Below are 26,515 nucleotides of genomic sequence, written 5' to 3'. Positions count from 1 at the left end.
AAGGCAAGAAGAAACTAAGGCAGAGGAGGTGGGGAGTGGAGCAGGGTCACAAACTGACCTTTGGTTACAAAAGAAAAACAAGACAGTGTTACTAACTGACCAGGGCCATGAAAGGTAGTAAACACAGCCAGGGCAAAGTAGAGAGCGTGCAAGCTAACCCCATTGCGACAAATACTCACACAATTTGGTGATACGAAATTTCTAGCAAGTTCCTCATTGAGTAAGCTGTTGTCACAAGTATATTTTGAATGGGTTCATAACAATGTGTATGTGCTTTAGGTGGGCAAGACAGGGGCAAATGAGTTTCATGAATAAATGTGCTACTTGCTTGCCTGAGGTATTAAACTTTAAAATAAAATGCTATCTTCACTCTGTTTCTGGCACGAACAAATACTTTACTTTTGGCAGTTCTCATCAAAAGTTAAGTGTCACCATTTGGCAATGTCTATCAGAATGAAAACTCACATATCCTCTGATTCTGTAATTCCACTTTAAGGAATTGATTCTGTAGTCCTAGTCATACATATGTGCAAAAGTATGTTTGTGGAAGTAAAAAACTGAAAACCACCATTATGTCTATTCAGAAGAGGCTGGGTAAATTATGGGACACTCATATTATGAAATATAGTGCAGCTGTACAGATTTGCAGCAAACTTCACAATATCTGTTAAGTTTCACTGAAGAATGTTAGAGTATATGTAAGGAAGGGGAGGGGAATACACACACACAATACACACACACACACACACACACACACACGCGCACACACACACACACACACACACACTAGGGCAGGGGGCCCCAATCCCCAGGCAGCAGACTGGTACTGGTCCATGGCCTATTAAGAACCAGGCCGTACAGCAGAAGGTAATAGGTAAGCGAATGAGCTCTGCCTCCTGTCAGATTAGCGGGCATTAGATTCTTATGGGAGTGTGAACCCTGTTGGGAACTGCCCATGTGAGGGGTCCAGGTTGTGCACTCCTTATGAGAATCTAATTAATGCCTGATGATCTGAGGTGGAACAGTTTCATCCCAAAACTGCCCTCCACCCATGCTGGTCCGTGGAAAAATGGTGTTCCACGAAACTGGTCCCTGGTGACAAAAACGTTGGTGACTGCTGCATTAGGGGACTTCAAAAAGTTTATGGAAAAAATTAAAAGATAAAAATAAAAATATAAAATTATTTCTCAACATAAGCTCCATCAAGTTCAAGACACTTTTGTAAGCAGTGATGGCCATTTAGTGCATCCCTAAAGAACTGAGGGTCCTGGGAATTTAACCATATCAATGTAATCTTTTTTACCTTATTAACTGAAGAAAAATGGGTATTCTTTAAATATTTCTTAAGATTAGAAAACAAAAAGTCAGAAGGAGTCAAATCAGGATTGTACGTTGGATGTCTAAGGATTTCCCACTGAAACTCACAAAATCGTCCTCGTTTGATGAGACGAATGAACAGGAGTATTGTCACGGTGGAGAAGGACTCTCCGGTGAAGCTTTCCTTGGATTTTTTCTGCTAAAGTTTTGGCTTTCTCAAAACACCCTCATAAGAAGCAGATGTTATCATTCTTTGGCCTTCCAGAAAGTCAACAGCAAAATGCTTTGAGAATCTTCAAAAATTGTTACCATGACCTTTGCTCTTGACCAGTCTGCTTTTTCTTTGACTGAACCCTTTCCACCTCCTGGTAGCCATTGCTCTGATTGGGCTTCATCTTCAGGATCATACTGGTAATGCCGTGTTTCATCTCCTATTACAATCCTTAAATGAAATGCTTCAGGATCTCGATCCCACTTCTTTAAAAATTCCATTGAAAGCTCTGCTCTTGTCTGCAGCTGATCTGAGTGCAGTGGTTTTGTTACCTATCCAGTGAAAAGTTTGTTCAACTTTAATTTGTCATTCAGAATTGTGTAAGCTGAACCAATTGAGATGTCTATGGTGTTGGCTATAATTAGACTTATGCTTATTATGTTTATAATTAGGTTTATGTTCCTAACTGTCAGTCCTCTTTAATTGGGGCACAAACAATATTATTATTATTATTATTTTGAGACAGGGTCTTGTTCTGTTGCCCAGGTTGGAGAGCAGTAGCACAATAGTGGTTCTCTGCAGGCTGACCTCTGAGGCTCAGGTGATCCTCCCACCTCAGCCTCCCAAGTAACTGGGACTACGGGCCTGTGCCACCACACTCGGCTAATTTTTAAATTTTTTGTAGAGATGGGGGTCTCACTATGTTGCCCAGGTTGGTTTCAAACTCCTGGGCTCAAGTGATCCTCGCACCTTGGCCTCCCAAAGTGTTGGGATTATACGCATGAGCCAACAATACTAACTTTTTCCTCCAAAATGTATGCGAATGGTCTGCTGCTGTGGGCTTCATCTTAAACATCGTCTCATCTCTTCTTAAAAGGAATTAGCCATGTGTAAACTGTTGATTTCTTTGGGGCAGTGTCCCCACACACTTTTTGTACAGTTTCAATGATTTCACTGTTCTTCCATGCAAACTTCACCCTAGATTTGAAGTTTGTTCTTGCTTCAATTTTAGCAGAATTCATGTTGCTCTGACAGAGGCGCTTTTCAAACTGAAGTCTTATCCTTCTTACTGCCTCAACTAGATTCTGTTCAGACATGTTATAACAGGTTAGTATGAGTTTATTTTGGTGCAAGAAAAATGAAAATCCATGCATAGTTTTTTCATAATATGCATTTTCCATAAACTTTTTAAAGACCTCTTTTGTGTGTATGCACTTATATATACACAGAGTATTTCTAGGAGGATACCCCAGAAATTTAACACTGGATGTTTCTATGAAAAAGATTGGGAGACTGGGTTCCAGAGGTCGATGGAAGTTTACTTTCCACTCCATATTGTTTTGCCCTGTTTGAAATTTTTATCAGCCAGGTGCATAAATCATTTTTCAAAAAGAATTTTAATGGAAATGTCATTCTTCCCAATTAATTAGGGTTTTGCTGGTGATGGTATCAGTGCCCAATGAAATCGACTGAAATATATGGTTTGAAAAAAAATGGGTGCCCTTTAAAGATGGACTAAGATTCATGGGCTGAAAGTGGTTTAAAACATTTTGAAAGAAGGCATCTTTCAGCTATGCGTATATTTGGGAAAAGTATTTCGGTAACTAATGAATAATAGAGAACATTGATTTGGGCTGCTATTTTTATGCTAACAATTTGGAGTCCCAGAGAACTGTGTAGAAAGCCCAGCGCTTCTCCCCAGCAAGTGGTGGCTAAAGCCCTTTTATGTTGAAGGGTCACCCTGACTTAAAGCCTAAGAAATCATTAATTGAAAGCTTTCAGCTTCTCTTGTATATTCCAACTTCATAGCTCTAAAAAAGTCACCAGTGCCACTTCTCTCTTTGCCTGTGGATGGCAGAAGAATGCATGGAAGGATAAACACTCGCTGATTTATTTACATTAAATAATACCCTGCTCATTCCCAGGAGCCAGCAAGGTTGGTGGCCTTTAGAAATCACTGACATGGACCGGGTGCGGTGGCTCACACCTGTAATCCCAGCACTTTGGGAGGCCCAGGCGGGTGGATCACGAGGTCAGGAGTTCGAGACCAGCCTGGTCAACATGGTGAAACCCTGTCTCTACTGAAACTACAAAAATTAGCTGGGCATGGTGGCAATGCTTGTAATCCCAGCTACTGAGGAGGCTGAGGCAGGAGAGTTGCTTGAACTCAGGAGGCATAGGTTGCAGTGAGCCAAGATTGTGCCATTGCGCTCCATCCTGGGTGACAGAGCAAGACTCCGTCCCAAAAATAAATAAATAAATTAATTAATTAAATAAAAATCAGTCACATGACAACAACCTAGCAACTTCCTTCTAAAGTTGGACTCATGTGCAGAAAAATGAAAGTACAGAAGAGTGGCCAACACACATTCTTTTTTGAGACCTGCGGCTGAATCAACATTTGGTGTTTTGGGGGAAAGTAAATGACAGCACCCCTTTCATTTAACGTTTTTATTAGCCAGTGTTATCTCTTGTAATGTGGAGTTTATTGTTAATTAACCCATCGTTTATCTATGGCTTCTTTCTTCTCAAACAGACTGTAAGCTCCTTCAGTGCTGGAGCAGTGTCATTCATCCATTTGTTCATTTACGGATCAAATATTTAATGCATAACTACCACATGCATGATGCTTTGCTAAGCCCTTGGGGAGGCAAAGATGAAGACATATTCCTTGCTTTCAAGGTATTCAGTCTTTTAGTCTCTTCTAGTCTCATGGTCTAATAGATAGCCTTATTCAGATTTGTGTCTCCCAAGGTTATGGACAGAGAGGGCTCAAGCAGATGCTTAGTAAATGCTGGTTGGTTGTGAAATTCTCAGACCGTGAACCCACAATGGGGTCATGATACTGTGGGTGTGTATTCAATTTTTGCTGATGAATTTTAGGAAATCACCAGACAGTTTTTCAAGATCTCTTTAATAATAGCTTTTAGAAGTATACTTTCTTTTTTTCTTAGATTAGAAGTTTCTGCACCTGGCAATGGAACCTCTTTTAGGGCTGAAATTGAAGACAACAATTATTCTGACCCAAGAGCTTGGGCTATAAACTCCTTGGGAAGTCGGCCCACTTTTCACACAGACAAATGGCAACTCATGAACAAAGAGGCACAGGAAGAGGGAAAGGGGTCAGGGAAGGTAACATTTCCTGAGTGCCCACACAAGGCCTGGAACGCCACATGCTTCAGTTCATTTACAGACAGCCACTTGAGGAACACAGTGACACTGAGGTGGAGAGAAAGAAATGAGCATTTTGGCAGTGGATGGGGTCTGGGGGTGAGTAGGCGATGGATATATTTGTATGTATGTATGGTGTGCTTTTAATTTAACATTAAATACAGATTTATCAAGCACTCTTCTATTTGCTACGTGCCCAAAGAGGTTTAAGCCACAGTCTGAGCTCTCAAGGAGGCAAATGGTATAAAGAAACATACCCTAAGTTAAATAGCCACCTGAACATGGTATAACATTATAGATTTTACAGTTGCCTGGATCCAGAGGGAACATTTGATCCAGAGTTTCCAGAAATGTTGTCCTCATCTCATTGATAGGATGCAAGATGATTTGGGCATTATACAAACATTTAAAACTTTCATTAGGCATTTATTTTAACATGCATTAGAAAAATCGACAGTGTATCATGCCCTCTGTGGTGGCACACAACTGTAGTCCCAACTACTCGGGAGAATTGCTTGAGCCCAGGCAGGGATTCAAGGCCAGCCTGGACAACATAGCAAGACGCTATCACAATAAATAAATAAATAAAGGAAAAACAAAAATCTGTAGCATATCGGACTCTTGCATACGTGGATATTACTGCTTCCTGTGAGGCTACATATGAAAGTGAATTGATTTAAGGATTATCTAAAGGAAAACATCAAGTTAGTAGCTGAGTATAGGAAAGTGGACTGGAATATGGCAAAGATTCTCTAAGTGTTATTTGAATGACCTGAGTTTGGGAAATTCAGATCAAGTCCAATCTCCAGGATGCAGAGAGAGTAAGTGAGTTGTCCAAGGTCACGAAGCAAGTGGAGATCACAGACCAGAACGCAGCCTCCGCCCCCACATCTTTATTCAATCATTTCTTCCTACTTTGCAGATGTGGAAACTGCAGGCCAAATAACAAATTCTGTCTTTCGCATGCAGTAACTGCCATGAGAATCTGACTGCAAAGTAGAAAGCCTAGAGTTGCCTTCACGAAAAATCAAAGTTAATATTTATATAGAGAGTGCTTACTGTGCATCCCGGTGTTATAAAAATGTCATACATATTAATTTATGTTAATCCCTAAGCCACTCTGTGAGATGTGCTTAGGTATTTCTACCATCCCTCTTTTTGCATGAAGAAATTAAGGAACAAATAACAATAGCTTTCTTAGATTATAACCTTCAGAGCTGGGATTTGAATCCCCAGGTAGTCCAGCTCCAGAATTTGCCTCCTTAACCATTACACATACAGCTCACCAATAATAAATGGAGAGGTGAAAGGGGCAACTTGTCTACCTGGTGAAATTGTAGATTCTGCTCAGACAATGTATTCCTCCCCTGTTCCTTCCTGCTTCACATTTTTCAATTAATGCCTTGTTCATTCCATGGAAGACATTGTTTCTTCATGCCACCATTTTTGAAATAATTAATTAGCATTAATTAATTAATGTTTTAGAGATGGGGGGGTCTCTCTGTTACCCAGGCTGGTCTCGAACTCCTGGGCTCAAGTGATCCTCCTGCTTCAGCCTCCCAAGTAGCTGGGATTACAGGCACCACCTGCAGCGCCCAGCTCACATCATCACTTTTTAATCTGCAGAAACTCAGATTCCACAGAGAGAAATCTGTGACTACCAAGAACAATTCTTTTATAAAAATAAAATTTGTTGGATTTCTATGATAAAAACTGTAAAGAAATAGTCCCATCCCTAAGGTTGAAGAAAGGACAAGAGTCATAGGAAGTGAATGCAGGGAGGGATAATTTTGGGAAATGGTGGGGCCGAGAGTGACACTGGAGAGGAGGCCTGTGTTAGGACTGGTCCAGCGCACCACAGGGGGCCACCAGGTGTTGAGAAAGCCCTGCCTGGTGCCCAGCACTTGGCACAGCACCTGGCATAGAGCAGGTGCTCGAAAGCTTTGTTGAATGGATGGAAGTCTGGATGGAAACAGAAGCCAGGCACGGAGGCGGGCGCCAGCACAGTGACTGGAGGTGAGAAGGCATCAAACACTTGACCTACTGTGTAACTTTGCTCAGGTAAGCCCAAGAGGCAAGCACAGTGCCAAATCTCCCATCAGCAGACAAAGGAGCTGTGAGTAAACCATTCACTGTGCTGCTGCTCTGGCTAGAAAGTTTTGCTTTGGGGAAATCCTTTTCATGTTTGTTACCTATTGGTAGCAGCCCCCGTTCAATCCTCCGACCTACTCTTCCTTAGATGAACCGCCCTCACTCTCCTTCCCTATAGGGTGCCTCAGGGCGGGCCAAGCCCATCTGGGGAGCATCGCCAGCCTCCTGTGTACTGGTGCCAGAGAAAGATCAACCCGTGGCACTTTTCTGTATCTCACCAGCAGGTGCTGACAGCTGAGCCATTCCACGCACCTTCGGAGCAAAGAACTGCCGGAAACCAGGGCCAAGTTCAGAGCCTGAAATTTTTTTCAAAGGCTACAAGGAGAAACCTGGGGGGCCTGATCACACATTACATAAGCCGTATGTGAGCAGAGGATGCCACTGATGCTAGGAACCCAGTGCCTGTCGGAATTGCGCAAGGTTTACGCAGAAGCACTTAAGTGTTGCAACATGACCCCACATCTTTACCAAAAATGTGAAACATTCACGCAGCACACACTTTAAAAACACTAAAGCTTGTCTCCGCCAGGTGGCTAAGGCTGCTTGATGGGGCTGACAGGAGAGGAGCTTTGCAGGGGGGCCTGACTTACTGTAGCTCTTGGCCCAGGGAGCTGAACACGCAGTACTTTGTACCCCAATAGCCCTGGGCAGCCCAAGCCTCTGATAAAATGTACTTTTCTGTGTGTTTGTTTTTCCTGGCAGTCTCATTTTGGGTTATAAATGGCTCCTTATTTCCATCCCATAGATCCATTCTTGCCTCTGTTGCGTTCTCTTTCGGCTTTCCAAAATAACCGAAAGGTTGGTAAAATCAACGCTGGTGAACGGCTTGTTCTGACCTTGAGCAGAAGCCGAATTTCCACATTGCTCATGCCATCTACAGTTGCTCCCGTGTCCGAGAGGTTGGCTGGAAAGGCCTCCTGAAAGCAGGGGATATAATTATACTTACACTAAAGCACTTGTTGCCATTAAATGCCAGGAAGTGGCATGGACCTTCCCTTGCTCCTGCCCTGCAACCTTTTTGGAGGACTATTGGGCAATCATCAGAGGTTATAGAGTTGGAACAGCATTCCCCCCAGATAGGTCATTTTCCCTGCAGGACAGCTTGGAGGCAAATTTTATTAAGTATCAAGTAGCTGACCCAAAGCAGTATAAATAGCGAGAGAACATATGACAAACCCAGAAATGAATGTGTTTAAACCCCAGGCTGAAGATATATGATGTGTTTACTGTTATCAGCACCTGCATGAAGATATTTTTGCCCAGTAGCCATCCAGGAAAAGATGAAACATATAAGTGACGTTATTAAGGCTTAATCTTAGAAAAATAATTTTGACCCTACTTTTGGAAGTCAGTGGACCACAGAGTTAATTTGGGGAAGGGACCTGAGGATAGGTTGGATGTGATTGGCTGTCATAGGAAGTACAGACAGACACTTATAAAACATCCCAAGTTCAGCCAGTTAAGAGCCAGGGGGAAAAACATGGAACTGTAGTTTACATTGGGTAGGAACTGTAAGCAGTCACTATCAGGCAAAAGGGACTTCCAAGTTGGAATTTTTCGAGAGAGACATGGAGAACATTTTAATTCAGGCCTGTTTTCCTCCATTGTTCCCTACCTTTATTCTAGGACATACCACAGAGTACAAACCATGCTTTAGTGACATTGATCAGGCCACAGATGACTGAGTTATGAGAGGCCATGAGCTTTCCAACATCAGTTTCCTAAACCAGCTGCTTCTCATCAGTCTGGTCCCCACTGGCCAGAGCTATTGACATCCTGGAAGATAATCCTATATTCCTACAAAGGTAGGAGAAGGTTCTGGGGAGAAATAGTGTAAGTTTTTATTTTTAATTTTTGATTATTATGGGTACATAATACATGTATGTATTCATGGCAGGGGTACATGTGATGTTCTGATATAGGCATGTGGTGTATAATGATCACATCATGCTAATTGGGGTGTCCATCACCTCAAGCACTTATTATGTCTTTTTGTTAGGAACATTCCAGTTCTACTCTTTTAGTTTCATTTTTGTTTGTTTTTGAGAGGCAGGGTCTCGCTCTGTTGCCCAGGCTGGAGGGCAGTGGCAAGATCACTGCTCACCGCAGCCTTGACTTCCTGGGCTCAAGTGATTCTCTGGCCTCAGCCTCCCATGCAGTTCTATTAATAGAACTAAGACAAAAAGGGTCATAGGCTTTCAGAGGCCACAGTGACCACAAGAGGCTGATGCACCACCATGCCTGGCTAATTTTTGAGTCTTTCCAAGAGAAGAGGTCTCCCTATGGTGCCCAAACTGGTCTCGAACTCCTGGGCTCAAGTGATCCTCCTACCTCGGCCTTCCGAAGTGCTGGGATTACAAGCGTGAGCCACATATACAGTCTAGCAATTTTAAAATATACAGTAAATTATTGCTGACTGTTGTTGCCCTGTTGTGCTGTCAAATACTAGATCTTATTTAACTATATTTTTGCACTCATTAACCATTCCCATTTTTCCCCTTGCTCCCTGCTACGCTTCCCAGCCTCTGGTAACCATCATTCTACTCTCTATCTCCATGAGTTCAGTTGTTATAATTTTTGGCTTCCCCATATGAGTGAGGACATTTGAAATTGGTCTTTCTACGAGGAATGGCATGAGTTTGACATAGAATGCAATTTGTTGAAGCACTCAGAGTTAGCAAATTTCCAACGCATCCCTGGCCCTGCCTACAGCCTGCAGCTTCCCGTATGCCTTGTAAAGGGAGACTTCTGCTTCTACCAGCTCTAAGTTCTAAAAGTGTTTTTAAGAGTGGCAATATTGTGTGTTTAACCCTTTGAAGAAGACAGTAGCCACCTGAATACATCAGTTCTTACATGTTAATTAAAAATCAGTAATCTTTACTTTGTATCTATTAATAGAACTAAGACAAAAAGGGCCATAGGCTTTCAGAGGTCACAGTGACCACAAGAGGCTGATGCAGTCAAGAAATTCTTCACAGAGGGCATGGGGCATGGATGTAGCTCTGTCACTTTTTCCCAGAACCACCCTCACTCCTGCAAAGACTGTTGGCTCCTTACCCAGTATTCACTCTCCATGTCTTCCTTGGTAGAATAAGCAGCGTGGGAAAGTGCCTGGCTAAAAGGCTACATTTTCCATCTTCCTTCACAGTAGGGGTGACTAATGAAATCCCAGGAGATGTTGGGTGGTCAGGGTTGCCAGATCAAATAAGGAACACTTAGTTAAATTAGAATTTCAGTCAATAATGAACATTTTATTGTTGTTGTCGTTGTTGTTGAGATAGAGTCTCATTGTGTCACCCAGACTGGAGTGCACTGGTGCCATCTTGGCTCACTGCAAGCTCCGCCTCCTGGGTTCAAGCAATTCTCCTGCCTTGACCTCCTGAGTAGCAGGGATTACAGGTGTGCACCACCACACCTGGCTAATTTTTGTATTTTTAGTAGAGACAGGGTTTTGCCATTGTTGGCCAGGCTGGTCTCAAACTCCTGGCCTCAAATGATCCACCCACATTGGCCTCCCAAAGTGCTGGGATTACAGGCATGAGCCACCTTGCCTGGCCTACCCCTTTTGTCCTTTTTCCCATTTTCTTTTCTGGGATATGGATGTGATGCCTAGGGCTCCAGCCTCCTTCTTGGGTCATGAGGTTAAGGATGGCAGATACAAAAGACAGAGGACTGCATACCTTCAGACTTTCTTATGTGTGATAGTAACCATTGATTTTCTTTAGCTGCTTGAGGTATCTCTGTGATTTGCATCCAATTGCTCTTCCTAACTGGTATAGCCATAATAAAGGGTGCATTGTGGTGGCAGCAGCTGAAATTGATGAAGAACCAGTCAGTAAAGCACAACAGAGTTGGAGTGAAAAGAAGGCACAGAAGGCTATGTCCAAACTGGGTCTTTGACAGGTTATAGGGGTTACTAGAGTCACTATCTGGAAATCTAAGAATATCCTCTTTGTCATCGCGAAACCAGATGTCTACAAGAGCCCTGCTTCGGATACCTATATCGTTTTGGCAGAAGCCAAGATTGAAGATTTATCTCAGCAAGCACAAGTAGCAACTGCTGCGAAATTCAAAGTTCAGGGTGAAGCTGTCTTAAATGTTCAAGAAAACACACAGACTCCAACTGTACAAAAGGAGAGTGAAGAGGATGAGGTTGATGAAACAGGTGTAGAAGTTAAGGACATAGAATTGGTCATGTCACAAGGGAATGTGTCCAGAGCAAAGGCAGTTGGAGCCTGGAAGAACAAAGTAATAATATTGTAAATGCTATTATGGAATTAACAGTGTAACCATCTGAAAGCAACTTTTATTGGTGTCTCAAATGAGTGACTGCAGCTTGGTTTGAAATTTGTACTGCTTCTATCATAAATAAAGTTATGGCTTCTTGTTGGATGAAAAAAAGAAAAGAGTGCATTGTTATTTTTGATATTTTGGTTCAGTCTGTATACCATGTGTCATTTTGCCTTTGCCTCTTATGTGTAATAAACCATTCTACTTTTTTTTTTATTTATTTTTTTTTGAGATGGAGTCTTGCTCTGTTGCCCAGGCTGGAGTGCAGTGGTGTGATCTTGGCTCACTGCAACCTCCACCTCCCAGCTTCAAGCAATTCTGCCTCAGCCTCCCGAGTAGCTGGGATTACAGGTGTGTACCACCATGCCTGGCTAATTTTTTTGTATTTTTGGTGGAGACAGGGTTTCACCATGTTAGCCTGGCTGGTCTCGAATTCCTGACCTCAAGTGATCCGCCCGCCTCGGCCTCCCAAAGTGCTGGGATTACAGGCATGAGCCACTGCACCCAGCCCTAATTTTTGTATTTTTAATAGAGGTGGGGTTTCACCATGTTGGCCAGGCTGGTCTCAAACTCCTGACCTCAAATAAGGCCGCCCGCCTCGGCCTCCCAAAGTGCCTGGATTGCAGGCATGAACCACCATGCCCGGCCTTTATTTTCACTTACTATATTTTTCTAAGGACTCTGAGAAAAGTGGATAGTGTTCCCTACATTCATTGAAATGGTAGCTCTTAACATGAACTTCTACATGGTGTTATTACCTGACTACTTTGCAAATTGCATTTAGGTATTTTGAGTAATTGCTTCAGATAATTAATAATAATAATACTTATTAAGCAGAATAGTTCCTATCTCTGCACAGAGATTTGTTCTGAAAACTCAAGTCCCGTGAAACGGTACTCTGAAACCCCAGAATCATATTTCAAAACAGTTTTGACAACTGTCTTATATGTTGTAAAGATTAGCTAAGGAGAGTCATGTGCACAGGAAAAGCTAATTTGCAAAGCACATCAATAATTCAGGAATGATGTAAAACCTAACTCCTTTAGCCTTGTTAGCAAGTCGACTGCTTTGAGTGTCCACTGTGAGGCATTCTGGGAAACGAAAGGGGTCACAGAATTGGCCTCCTTGCAAATGAGCTCAAGCTAACTGGACTAGCAGGTCTAGGAAAGAGAAGTTACCTGGGCTAGGAACTGTATGAATACCGGCCCTCCCTTTCTACAGTGGAATCTTTTGAAGGTTAAGCAACAGTAAATAATCAACTAAGAATTTCTCAGAGTTGCTGCATTTACCTTCCTCTGCTTTTTTTTTTTTCTTTGCCCATGAAGATGAAGCAACTTTGGAATGAGAGCAATATTTCCTTTTAGGACTCCCTGCTTCAGACACGCAGAGAACAAGCTCAGGCCTGGCCTGGCTGGCAGAGACTGCCTGCGGGAGAGAGCTGGGCTTCAGGTATGGGTGAGGGATGGTGAGTTAGAATTTAACAGAAGGGGAGGAGAAGAAAACTCATTTGATTTTGTAAGTTTCCACACAGGCCTTTCAGCAACATCTATCAGCAAAAGAGAGGCAACAGAATCTTGCACCTTGAAAGTCACTGGGGGCAAAGAGGGTCCAGGAGTCAGCTCCTGGAATATCAGCTATAGTACAAAAAGGAAATAAGTAATGCAAAGGAAAAAGCAATACACATATGTAGAGAGACTGATCTAGAAGATCTGGCCTTGGTATCTGGGGATTGGTAATGATGTCATGGTGGTTAGCTCAGACGAGATGATGGATGATGAGTCCACTTGTATGCATCTGTATTACAAACGCAAATAAAACTTGGAATGATGTGAGTTGGCAGAAAAAACAAAGTCAATCTGTTCATTAGTGTTCTCTCCACAATGTGAAGGGGGAAAAGAGCTATTTTTTTGTGTCCAGGGAATATTGAGTTATATATAATATTCATTCAGCAAACATTTATTGAGTAATGACTGTTTGCCAGGCACTATGCTAGATGCTGAGAATGCAAGAATTGTACAAAGCCCCTCCATTGCCCACTCTCGATAAGAGGACAGCCAGAGCCAGTCACCTTTTTTGTACTATGTTTCTCTTAAGGTAAGGACAATCACGGCTCAGAACAAAAGTGCTTATCACATGTTGGTAGGCAAGTTTGCAATAATTCTTTTTCTTTGTAATGGTTTTATTACAAGCCCTGTAGTAAAACTTGGAAGATCTTTTTATGTTAGAAATCTCTCCTCTGCTACTGAATACTAAAGACTTTAGTCAAGTCTTTTAATTTCTCTGGGACTAAGTTTAAACATTTATAAAATCAGGTAATGGAAAGTAAAACTAGACTGATTTAATGAATCCTGGCTTAGGACAAGCAATAAGAGGAGGTTGAGGGCAGACAGCCACTTACTAGACACTTACAAACAGTAGGACTTCAGACTCCTTAGCTCTCAAAGTCTCTTAAAGTCTTGGTTTCTTCATTTGAGAAATGGGGATAATGCAATTCTTGTTGGGAGGGTGAAATAGATTAAGATAATGAACTTGGTTCAATCCAGGGCACAATAAGAATCCCCCTGTGAATGTCGCTGTTTTTATCCTACCCTGAAACTATTTGAATCTTTTCAAATCAATTCTTTGTTTGTATGAATGGATACTGCGTGTATATACGCCTCTCTTACATCACTGACCTCTCAGGAAGCAGTTAATTGGGAAATTGCAACATACTGGGGGCATAAACATGGAATGGGTTCACTTCTTGGTCCCTAAAATCAGCACTTTTTTTTTTTTTTGTGAGATGGAGTCTGGCTCTGTCGCTCAGGCTGGAGTGCACTGGCGTGATCTTGGTTCACTGCAACCTCCACCTCCCGGGTTCAAGCGATTCTCCTGCCTCAGCCTCCCGAGTAGTTGGGACTACAGGCACCCACTACCACGCCTGGCTAAATTTTGTATTTTTAGTAGAGATGGGGTTTCGCCATGTTGGTCAGGCTGATCTCAAACTCCTGACCTCAAGATATCCACCCTCCTTGGCCTCCCAGAGTGCTGGGATTACAGACGTGAGCCGCCGTGCCTGGCCCCTAATCAGCACTTTCAATGGTGCTATGTCTAATCCCTTTTTCTGTCCAACAACATCTAGGGCAGATTGTAGAAATTTGCCGTTTTAAAAAAGTAGGTCTGCATAGTTTAAATCTCATTCTGGTTCACAGCTTCTCTCTTCCACTCCACCCTTTCTTACGCTCTTTCAGTGTGTCAAGTAGGGAGGAGGGGAAGAAGAAGGGATCAGTGTCTCTCAGCTGCCTGCTCACATCTGCAGTCCTTTCACGATGTTGATGCTGTGCCACAGCCTTACTCTGTTGGCTTGTGGGTGCTCCCATGTAGCAGGTACCCAAAGGCTGGCGGCATGCTGTGGGTCTTTGGAAGGCCCCGGGGGGCTTCCTGGCTCTACACTTCCGTAACCTGGAAGATTCGGCTCTCTGGATGGGCTTCCTTTACCCCCTCAGCTCCTGCCATAGCTGCTACCCTCACAACCTGTTTTAATATGGCTCTGTCTCTTTAGTATCTACTGACTTGTCTCTAGGCTTGTGTGTAGTTTTCTTGGCATTTTGAGATGTGTTACAAGAAGGCATATATCTCAAAAGTGATACGTGCTTTTCTTTCGAGCAGTAATTGTCACTATCTTAGAATCATTGTACAAGTTTGCCCTTAGATACTTATAATGTAAGCAAATCATTCCCATGATATTTCCTTCCTTTTCCATTTCTGGGCCACCCTCACACTGGTCATCATTCACATACTTTTCTGGGTTCCCTCACTTGGCATGAAGCCTTGTCCACAGTGGGCCCCTGCTGGAGTGCATTTTTTGTCTTCTCAACTGCATCATGAATGCCTCCAGACAAGGACTGGGCCATCTACCGCTCTACTTCCATACAGGATAGCACCCATTGCACCCCATCACTGTCTGTAGGTCACAGGATCCATTCCACAAACCCAACAAAGACTGTGAGTGCCTCCCTGCCTGTGCAAGGCACTGGTGGTGGCACTCAAGAAATTGCCACTCCCCTAGATGTGGTGGGCAGAGAGAACTGAGGGGAGATGGTGACACCTTCCGCTCTTGCACTAAGGGATCCCGTCTTCCATGATTCCTCTTTCCCCAGTCTGATGTTAGGAGGGAAAGAGGATAAGAACAGAAGCTAGTACAGTAAAAGTCAAGACCTGAGAGGATAGCATCCTAGCATTTATTTGACAAGGGTTTCCTTCTTACTCTGAGGTGTTCAAGCAGCGCCGCCAACTCTGGCTGTGTGGTGACTTCTATGGCATGCACTTTTTTGTTTTACTTCACTGTTGAATTTCTTACCCCACTGTTGGTTGATTATCTCAGTTGGTTATCTGCCGCTAATAAGACCAAGGCTTTCCTTCCCATTTCCATAGAGATCAAGCCAAAGTCCTCCCTTCGTGTCAATGTCCCGCCTCCTGAGTTGGCTCTGATGACTGGCCGGCCCCACCACCTCTGCCTCACTCCTGGCCACGATTAGTTTTTCTGATATAAATATCCAATCTTTTATTTTCTCTGTTGACATATTTTTAAAAGTATGCAAGAGATTAAAAATGTGATGTTCCCTTTTTATCAGATTCTTAAAGAATCTGTCATTCATACTATGAAACTTTTAGTTTCATAAAAGTTTCAGGGCATAGTGGCTCACACCTGTAATCCTAGCACTTTGGGAGGCTGAGATGGAAGGATAGCTTGAGCTGTAGTTTAAAACCAATATAGTCAACATAGTGTGACTCCTGTCTCTACAAAAGATAAAAATTAGCTGGGCATGGTATCTGTATTTCCAGCTACTTGGGAGGCTGCAGAGGAGCTCATGGCTTGAGCTCAGGTGTTTGAGGCTGCAGTGAGTTATAATTGCAACACTGCACTCCAGCCTGGTTGATAGGGTGAGACTCTGCATCTACAAAAAAAAATTTTTTTTTTAATTAGCTGGGTGTGGTGGTGGGTACATGTAGTCCCACCTATGCAGGAGGCTGAGATGGGAGGATCACTTGAGTCCAGGAATTTGAGGTTGCAGTGAGCGATCATTGCACCAATGAACTCCAACCAAGGTGACAGACTCTGTCTCAACTAAAAACAAAAGAAAAGAAAAACAAGGATGGTTTAGTATACGTAAACACTTTGTTTTGAATATATATATTCAATAAGGGCATTTTCATTTAAAACTTATTAAAGAGTTCCTACTCTGATAGAAATAAGAACCCATTTGTTCATCCCATTGTGGATGTATGTTAAATGCATTTTAGAACAATAATGTGTCCTTTCATTTTAGGGAGTATTTAGTACATCCATACAATTTTTAACTTAAAAAGAATTACAAGCCTGGTGCAGTGGCTCACGCCTGTGATACCAACATTTTGGGAGACTGACACAAGAGGGTTGCTTAAGCCCAGGAGTTTGAGACCCTGTCTCTACAAAAAATAACCACGTGGTGCATTCCTGTAGTCCCAGCAACTCAGGAGGCTGAAGCAGGAGGATTACTTGAGCACAGAAGTGTAAGGCTGCAGGGAGCTATGATGGTGCCACTGCACTCCTGCCTGGGTAACAGAGCAAGACCTTATCTCTTGAAAAAAATAAATTGGCAATTACAGCATAGCTTACATAAAGCACACAAATTTTAAGTGTTTAGCTTAATGAATTTTTACATATGCATCCATCTATATGCTAGTAAGTATGCATATTTAAAGTATGTTTTCTTTGAACATACAACCGTCTGTTTATTATGTCTGTTTTCATTTCTACTTTATAACTCTTTTTTAAAAAGTTCTTATTTCTATCAGAACAACGGGTGAGAATAAGGAGAAGAGAATGAATACTGACTGAGTGCTACTCTGTGTCAGATACCTATTATGCTTCTCAGAGAGACTATCTGATTTAGTATTTAGACAAACATCATGGGGGCCACTCATGTTATCTGTGTACTAAAGATAAGGAAATTGGGTTTTAAGATGGCTAAATAATTTGTTTTCAGTCATACTGTTAGAATTCGACATGAGGTCTCTTTGGTACCAAAATTTTATTCTTTCTGTTAGACAATTACAAAGAAGCCATGATATACTCTCTTGTCTTGGGTGGCTCTGAAAGCAGAGCCTGAGATATTTTATTTGAAAAGTGATCTCAGAGGCTGGGGGTGGTGGCTCACGCCTGTAATCCCAGTGCTTTGGGAGGCCAAAGCAGGCAGATCACTGGAGGTCAGGAGTTTGGGACCAGCCTGATCAACATGGTGAAACCTTGTCTCTACTAAAAACACAAAACATTTGCCGGACATGGTGGTGGGTACCTGTAATCCCAGCTACTCAGGAGGCTGAGGCAGGAGAACTGCTTGAATCCAGGAGGTGAAGGTTTCAGTGAGCTGAGATCGGGCCACTGCACTCCAGCCTAGGCAACAGAGCGAGACTCTGTCTCAAAAAAAAAAAAAAAAAAAAAAAAAAAATCAGTGATTCCAGAGAAGAGGAGTGGGGATCAAGGGATGTGAGACAGGGAAGGAGGAAAAGCCCAAAAGAGGATGAGTTACTGGTTTGGCCACAGCTACAGACAACTCCTCTTCTATCTCACTGGAACCTTCTGAGCAGCCTTATGAATTGTGTCTCAAAAATGCATGCCTGGGCCTGGCGTGGTGGCTCACGCCTGTAATCCCAGCACTTTGGGAGACCGAGGTGGGTGGATCACGAGGTCAGGGGTTGGAGACCAGCCTGACCAACATGGTGAAACTCCGTCTATACTAAAAATACAAAAATTAGCTGGGCGTGGTGGTGGGCGCCTGTAATCCCAGCTACTCAGGAGGCTGAGGCAGGAGAATTGCTTGAACCCAGGAGGCGAAGGTTACAGTGAGCCGAGATCACGCCATTGCACTCCAGCCTGGGAGAGAGAGCGAGACTCCATCTCAAAAAAAAAAAAAAAAAAAAAAAAAAAAAAAGCATGCCTGGAAGACAAAAGGAGGAACGGAGGAACTACCTAGCCATTAACTCCTGTCATCTATTGGCCCAAGATGGTCCCAACAGCCTTAGCCACGCTCTTACTTCTGGATTATAACGTTTGGGTGCCAAGCAGGTTCCCCTAGATATACTGCACCTTGGCATGAGAGAAGACCTGGTACAGGAAGCAAGAGGTATGTGGTGGGGACCCAGACAAGATGAGATTACACTCATGTGAAGCTGGACAAAGACTACATGGAGCGCAATACTGCAGCAGTGGCTGCACTTGGAGGTGGGGCTGAGAGGATGTGAAGTGGTACATGAGAGGTATCCCGTACACATACCAAGAATGCTTTAGTAATATAGACCCAGATTGGGAAACAGTTTTCTAGTAACACAACTCTTCTTATTGCAGAGATTTCAACCTGAACCTATTCTTCTGCTGGTGTTTCTCTTTAGGCATCAGGCATGTTTGGCAAATTAATGGGGCAGACTTGAGAAAATCTATTTGTGTGTATCCATATGCATGAGTTCTTTGCTCTTTTCCTGAAGGAAGGGAAAACTGAGTTTTATATACAAAAGCCTAGAAAGAGCTATGGGAGAAATGGAAGGGCCAGAGGGCAGCTATCCCATGACAAAGTCTGAACTCTATGGAAGAAAAGGCTCAGGCAGAAAGAGTAGGATCTGTTTTATGAAGGTTCTAACACACTGCCATTCAGCAGTACAAACTGTTTTTTTTTTTTGAGACGGAGTTTCACTCTGTCACCCAGGCTGGAGTTTAGTGGTGTGATCTCGGCTCACTGCAAGCTCAGCCTCCTGGGTTCACGCCATTCTCCTGCCTTAGCGTCCCGAGTAGCTGGGACTACGGGCGCCCACCACCATGCCCGGCTAATTTTTTGTATTTTTAGTAGAGATGGGGTTTCACCATATTAGCCAGGGTGGTCTCAATCTCCTGATCTTGTGATCTACCTGCCTTGCCCTCCCAAAGTGCTGGGATTACAGGAGTGAGCCACTGCACCTGGCCAGTGGTACAAACTCTTTCAGGGCCCAGGTGGCAAAGTGTGCTAAAGAAGTAGGGGAACTGGGCATTCTTCCCACTTCTTCATGGTTCTGCAGAGAAGATCAAATGTTTATAACGCAATAAACACAGTTTGGGTGCTTCCATGAATTCTGTTCCATGTGGTCTGATTACCCTCTATATTTAGAGACTAAGGAAGTTTTTATAAGAACGTTAGCAGCTGTCATAATTGGAGATTGGCCAGTGCGGGGTGGAGTGGGACTCAGAGACTGAACCAGCCTTCAGAGATGGTGCAGGGGTGGTCCAACCAGTAGAGATAGGAAGAAGTCTCGGCAAGTGGGTAGAGCTCAGGATCCAGTTGCAGATAGCTCTAGTACAGACAGCTGCCATTCAAAGAAAGAGTGGAGACCCAGCCATAGGATCTTGGTAAGGGGATTATATCAGGAGAGAAGAAAATAATATTCTAGGCCTGGAAGAAATAGCATACAGAGTTGGAATCCAATATGTAGCTCAGGAAGGCACGGAGGGGGGAGCCAAATATAATCTAAAACAGATGTAATTATAAGGCAACTAGGGCAGAATCCAGTTACTAAAAATAACCAGCCTTGAGACTGACTGGCCTAAGTCTCCATTCAGTTCCTCTGCTGGGGATACGTCTGAAAGGTAGAGAATGGCTTCTAGCTAAACAGGCAAGCACGCAGCAGCAGCAGGGGTGCGAGTCAAACACGTCTCCACAGGTGCTTATCAATAAGCTCCATGCGTCTGGATCCACTGACAAGGAAGCAGGACCCAAATGATTAAACCCTGTTTGCAACAGTCCTTCTAAGAGAAGACTTCTGGTTTTTTTGTTTTGTTTTGTTTTGTTTTCTGTCTAGAATGCCTTCTTCTCTTCTTCTGCTAATGGAACTACTTTTTTATGGGGAATCCCCCACTTTCCAGAGAAGTTAGCATGTGATCTAAGTTCAGTCAATCAGATAAATCTATTCCTTTGGAATGGGAAGAGGCAGAAAACCCTAGAAAAGCCAATCAGATTCTTCCTTGAGATTTGATGTTTAAATGCGGAGAGAGAGAGAGAAAGGCTCTTTTTTCAGTATTGGATCACAAGATTGTAAAGATGATATAGACCAGAGTTGCTTTCTGTCACCTTTCCTGGATACCTGGGGAAAGCCATCCATAGTGAGAGACAATGAATCTAACATTAAGAGAGAATCAAAAATGAAGAGAGATGAGAGATGGATGGAAAGAGACAGAGTCCTGAGGACATTACTTGGACCCCGAATCCAGCCATGGCTGAAGCCAAAGCTATCCTGCTCTTTCATGAGCCAATACATTCTGCTTTACTTAAGCTGGTCTCGACCCAACTTCAAGTGGGTTTTGCAACTTGCAATGTAAGGAAATTGGACAAACGCATTTGCTTATTTACTGCCTCCATCCACAGCTAATCTGAAATTTAGAGTTGGTACTGACAATACTCACCTCAATCCTGGCCTCCATTGCTCTTCACAAAGACACACTGGCCACTGCGGTGAGCAGACGGCCACTGCTCTCTGCCTGGCAGAAGCCTCAGTGATATTAGATTTGAGTCTTTGCCCACCACTACTTTTGACATACGCTTGTTCTTTGGAGCTCACCCCTTCCTCTTTCATATGGTCTTTTCAGACTGTGGATGAAATCTTCAGCCTTTTCCACTTTGTATCAAACTTACAATTGAAGTCCTGACCAGCCAGGTGCGGTGGCTCACGCCTGTAATCCTAGCAATTTGGGAGGCCAAGGGGGGCGGATCATGAGGTCAGGAGATCGAGACCATCCTGGCTAACACAGTGAAACCCTGTCTCTACTAAAAATACAAAAAAAAAAAAAAATTAACCTGGCATGGTAGCGGGCACCTGTAGTCTTCGCTACTCGGGAGGCTGAGGCAGGAGAATGGCGTGAACCTGGGAGGCAGAGCTTGCAGTGAGCTGAGATTGCACCACTGCACTCCAACCTGGGTGACAGAGCGAGACTCCATCTCAAACAAAAAAAAAAGAAAAAAAAGAAAAAAAAGAAAAAGAAATCCTGACCTTTCTTCTGAAAGTAGATGCCTGTTTTAAATTTCTATTTGAGAATTCCATGATCACCTCACACTCAACAAGTCTGAAACAGAACTCAGCAGTGTTCTGGTGCTGACGATGGCACCAGCATTGTGCCTGTCATCTGTTCTAAAGGAGCTCAGGACATGCCACCCCAAAATAGGCCACTTTGGCAGATTGATGACTTTGAGCTGAAGGCACTTGAGAAACAGCAGATGCAGGAAGGGCTTTCTGACCACCCCTCCCCTCCACATTTTTTTTTAACCTAAACAGGCCATAAAATTTCCCATGAGAAAGGTGTCTACCCTGAACCAGCAAGAGAAGAACATTCCTTACAGAATCATGGTGTGGAGAAGAAAAGAGAGAAAGAGACAGAGAGAGAGAGGAACATTCTTATCACCAGGCACTGGGAATCAATGCTGAAATGGATCTGGACAAACAAAGTTACCAAAATAACCCTTATTTTCCTCTGGTTCTTTCTACTATGTATCTTAGTCACTTCCTCACAATTTGCTGTCCCTGGCCAACACCCTTTTGTCTTGTTATTTCTTCACAAATTAATAGTTTCTTTGTCTAAAAGGCACAAAAACACTAGGCACGGTGGCTCACAGCTGTTATCCCAGCACCTTGGGAAGCTGAGATGGGAGGTTTGCTTGAGACCATGAGATTGGGGCTGCAGTGAGCTGTGTTCACACCACTGCACTCCAGGCTGGGCAAACAGAGCAAGAATCTTTCTGTCTGGTCAATTTTTCAGACCTTCATTCTCTTGTGAAGGTCCCTGCTTATGTGTAAAAATTGTAATTAAACTTGTATGCTTTTCTCCGGTCAATCTGTCATATATCAGTTTAATTCTTAGGCCCAGTTGGAAGAGGGCCTAAATGGGAAGAGGAGACTTTTTCTTTCCTCCTCAACAGCTCCTTCAGTCCCCCAATTGTTTGTGCCACCTTTCTTTTCCTCATCCTCCTCATGCTAAATCATGAAGCTCACTCAATTTCCTTCATGTCTGCATGATCCTGGAGCTGCATGTGGTTCTAAAGGTGGGTAGAAAACTGGACAGGGCATGACCCCTGACTTGAAGAGTTTGCATTCTAGTAGAGGAACTATGAAATCAGAATGTGCTTTGTGCTACAGCAGGGGCAGCAGCAGAAGGACCAAGGGGCCTAACACAAGATAGGGGTCATGCCAGCTACGGGAGATCAGAGAAGAGTCATGGAAGAATTTCAACAGTCCATGAAGGCAAGAGGACATTATGAAAATAAAAAAGGGAGCCAAGAGAACAATTGATTGAAGTGCACTTGGAATGAGGATGATATGGTTTGGCTGTGTCCCCACCCAAATCTTATTTTGAATTGTAGCTCCCATAATTCCACGTGTCATGGGAGGGACCCAATGGGAGGTAATTTAATCATAGGGGTGGGTCTTTCCCATGCTGTTCTCATGATAATGAATAAGTCTTATGAGATCTGATGGTTTTATAAAGGGGAGTTCCCCTGCACACGCTCTTTTGCCTGCCATCATGTAACATGTGCCATTTGCCTTCCGCCATGATTGTGAGGCCTCCCCAGCCACATGGAACTGTGAGTCCATTAAACCTCTTTTTCTTTATAAATTAACCAGTTTCAGGTATGTTTTTATCAGCAGTGTGAAAATGGACTAATGCAGAGGACTTCTGTTTGCTGGTGCATAGGAGTGGCTGGGGAAAGTGCTGGGAGACGGTGCTGGGCGGGTTGGGATCGACACTGTGGATTGATTATGTAAAAGTCATTCACAGCCCCCTTTTTTTCTTGTTTGCCCATATTACAGAGTTTCAGAAAACTGAAACATTAGCTTCTCCAGCTTTCCCTGCAGCTACGCATGACTGAGTTCTAGCCAAAGAGAGTAAGGAGGGTACAATGGGTGGAAATCATGGGAAAGTAGTTCAGTGGACAGGATGTGCTAGCATGCTCACCTCCTCCTTCTTCCTATTTGAGAATGCACAAGAATACTCATGAATACAGCTGCCATCCTGGCATTATGAAACCCCCAGGAATCGGGGTATGTTTGTAGAATGGCAGAGGAGAAAGACAGAAAGAACCTGGTTCCTTGATGACATCATCTGGCTATTGTGAAGTCCTGAACTTCTTTTTCCCACACTTGTTGTGCATGACAAACAAAAATCCCTATATGAGAAGTCACTGTTAATCAGGTTTTCTATTGCCTGCAGCACTGAATGCCATTCTAAAGAAAAGGAAGTTTATACTATAAGCCCTTACATGAAGGTGAGAGGATGCCATTATCAGAAAACTCTCCCCTTTTGCTATTCACTGCCTAGACCCTTCAAAGCCCAGTTCATTGGAGAATCTCTTTATGGAAGCTTCTGTCTCTTGTCCTGGCCCCCTTAATTCTTACTGCTTGTTGGGCAATTACCAAGTTTGGGTTAGAGACACGTATTTTTACTGATTCCTCAGGGACTTATCTATCCCCAGTAGGACTATAAGTGCCTTACGGGCAGTGACCATGTCCTGTACTTTCTCTCATGAAGTGCGCAGGCTGGAGAGAATCACATAGTGGGTCAGTGCTCAGACACTGGAATCTTAAGTTTGAACCCTGAGGCCATCACCAAATATTCATAGATCTTAGACAAGTTTTGTAACCTCCCTAGGCCTCAATTTCCTCATTTGGGGAGCAGAGATTGGTAATAGAATTTGCCTCCAGGGATTATTGTGAGACTCAAATGAAATATTTCCATGAATTCCTTAGTGTCATTTTAGTCATCATTATATATGTAGTAGATGGTCTGCATCAATGACCTCTCATACCCTGTGTTTTCAATGTGACTTTGCAACTCTGTCCATTGTGAGGTCAACTCCATTTCCCCACCCTTGAACCTGGGCTAGTCTCATGACATTCTTTGGCTAACAGAGTGTGGCAGAAGTGATACTGTATGAGCTCCCAATCTAGGCCTCAAGAGGCTTTGTACATTTCCAGCCCCTCTGTTGGGACCCCTGCCTTTTCTATAAGAATAAGCTTAGGAGAGCCGCTGAAAGATGAGAGACCTTGTGGAGTAGAGATGAGTTTTCCTAGTAGAGACCCTCTTAGACCAGCTAATCTGCCAGGTGGCAACAGATACATGAGTGAGTCCCATCAAGATCAGAAAAACCGCTTGGAAAACCCATACACTTATGAACAATAATTAGTGTTAATTGTTTTGTGCCAGTAGGTTTTGGGGAGGTTTGTTAGGCAGCGATAGTTACCTGATATAATCTATCCAAGAGACAAGAGAAATTTTGCCTGTTCACTGCTGTATCTCCAATGCCTAGAACTGTCTATTGATAAGCAGGTGCTCAATATATACGTCGAATAAATTCCTGAATGTAATTATGATTACTATCATCTCAAAGACTCATGGTGAGGAGTGAATGAGATAATGAAGGGAAAACATTTCACATTGTTCCTGTCACACAATGACTTCTCAATAAATATTAGTTATTAACCAGGTGATCGACAATGACTGGTTAATTGATTAACATATTTTTATTAATATAAAACTAGCTAATGAGTAACACTATCCTAAGCCCAGTTAATTAAGCAATTCTCTGTCTTTCAGAAAACCTAATATTAACCACAGTTGGGTTCTTGGCTTGCAGAAAGTCAATCAATCAATCAATCATAGACAACTTCTCCAGAAATCCTAGGGGACAAAATTCTGCAAGAACCGTCCTGGGAAACGTGGAGCTTGGAGCTGAGGACATCATCTTCGTACAAACCACCATTTTTTTTTTCTGGTTTTCTTTCTTCTACTACTTTCCCAGCATCAGGCTACTGTGTAATGAGTTCCCAAGTCCTCTTGGAATGCTTCTTCTTCCCTAGATGAGCATTTCAGTACTCCATGCTTGGGAGCCCCCCGCCTTTGAGGCATTGCCAGTAACCAAGGGGGAAGGGGGTGTGTGTGGGGGTGGCCGATGAGGCATGAAGCCTGGTGTCACTCCTTCATTACTCATATGGGGCTGATCTCACGTGCTAGCTCTGCTTTGCTACTGTGAAAAGAGGCCTTTTCATCCTCACCCAGCAGAAGTTCACACTTTGTAATTTCTCAGTGACCTCGTTAGTTCCCAAATTACTTTTGGCTAGCAAGAAAGATGAACACATTGTACCTTCTCTAAGGGACTCATTATTTCCATTCTGGAGACTGTCATTTATGAAATTCTGACTTTCTTTCATCATGTATTTACACTAGGCAAAGCTAGGAATATTGTAATTGTCTGTGATGTTTTGAAAACACTTGTCACAAACTGAAGCCAAATGCTGATTAATGTTAAGTGTTTTGAAGAACCAAGCTTTTGGCTCATTAACTGGACTAGAATGGCATTACCCATCAGCTTCAAGTTCTGATAATTGCTCATCACAGATTGGCACTAATTTAGTAGTAATGGTGCTGACAGATTTGTATGTTTTCCCTATATTGAACATTATGCACATATAAAGACTGGTGTGAATGCCAGACCTGGAATCAGGAGACCTGGTCCCAGATGTGCCACAGTGTGACCATGGGCAAACAAACTTATCTTTCTGTGTCTCTGTTTCCTTACCTATAAAATAAGGGGCTTATATAGGATGATCTTCAATATCCTTTTTTACTGAAATTCTATGGTGTCACCAGTATGCAGTTTGGTCTTGAGTTGCATAATAAGCACAGATTCATTTTAGAAAAGGCATAAACGTTGGTATACATGGAACATGGGCAAGATCGTCAGTTTATTTCCCTTCTTCTCTACATTTTTTCTATATTAAGAGGGAAAGAAATGTTCCCTGTCGGGCTTGCAGGATAAGCCCTTAATCAAATGTTACATACCATCTGTTTGAGACAGTATTTGGTAAGTCAAACTTAAGTAGCTATAATCACTGTGGAATCCAAAACTGTTTCCTGTTATCCTGTCTGTTTTCTGCAGACAGGAGATAGTCTAGCTTCTTAAGCCAGTACAAAACAGTAATATTGCAAGGAAGAAAGACATTTATTTTGAGGCTCATGCTTTGAAACTGCTTATTGAATTTGTCTTTCCTTTTCTCCCTAGATATTCTCCCACTTATTTACGCTGCTTCTCTGCCTCACTCTTCTCTATCCAAGTCCTCTACCCCCTCAACATGTCTCACTGTCTTCCTCTCTGTTCCATTCCTTGGCATAATCCTTGGGGATTTCAACATATATGTTGATAATTCTTACCCTGGCATTAGAAGAGGACAGGCCCAAAGGTTAATGATTGGTTCAAGGTCACACAGCTATCTCATGCCAGAGCAGGATCAATTATCGGGAGGATTAATCAGACAATGTATGATGTAATTAGTCTGTGGACCCATGGA

At 43.0% G+C, this 26,515-nt stretch overlaps 1 long non-coding RNA gene and 1 pseudogene across 1 annotated transcript in view; both read left to right on the top strand.

Moving 5' to 3' along the window:
* The window catches only part of LOC643339 (uncharacterized), a 373,979-nt gene that overhangs the window by 242,539 nt on the left and 104,925 nt on the right, over positions 1–26,515 (top strand). The gene's annotated exons all lie outside the window — the stretch shown is intronic.
* NACAP8 (NACA pseudogene 8) lies at positions 10,641–11,139 on the top strand (annotated as a pseudogene).

Source organism: Homo sapiens, chromosome 12 (assembly GCF_000001405.40).
Source record: "Homo sapiens chromosome 12, GRCh38.p14 Primary Assembly".
NCBI classification, from domain to species: Eukaryota; Metazoa; Chordata; class Mammalia; order Primates; family Hominidae; genus Homo; species Homo sapiens.
The sequence above is the reverse complement of the archived record's forward strand: the minus strand, read 5'-3'. Positions and strand labels throughout refer to the sequence as shown.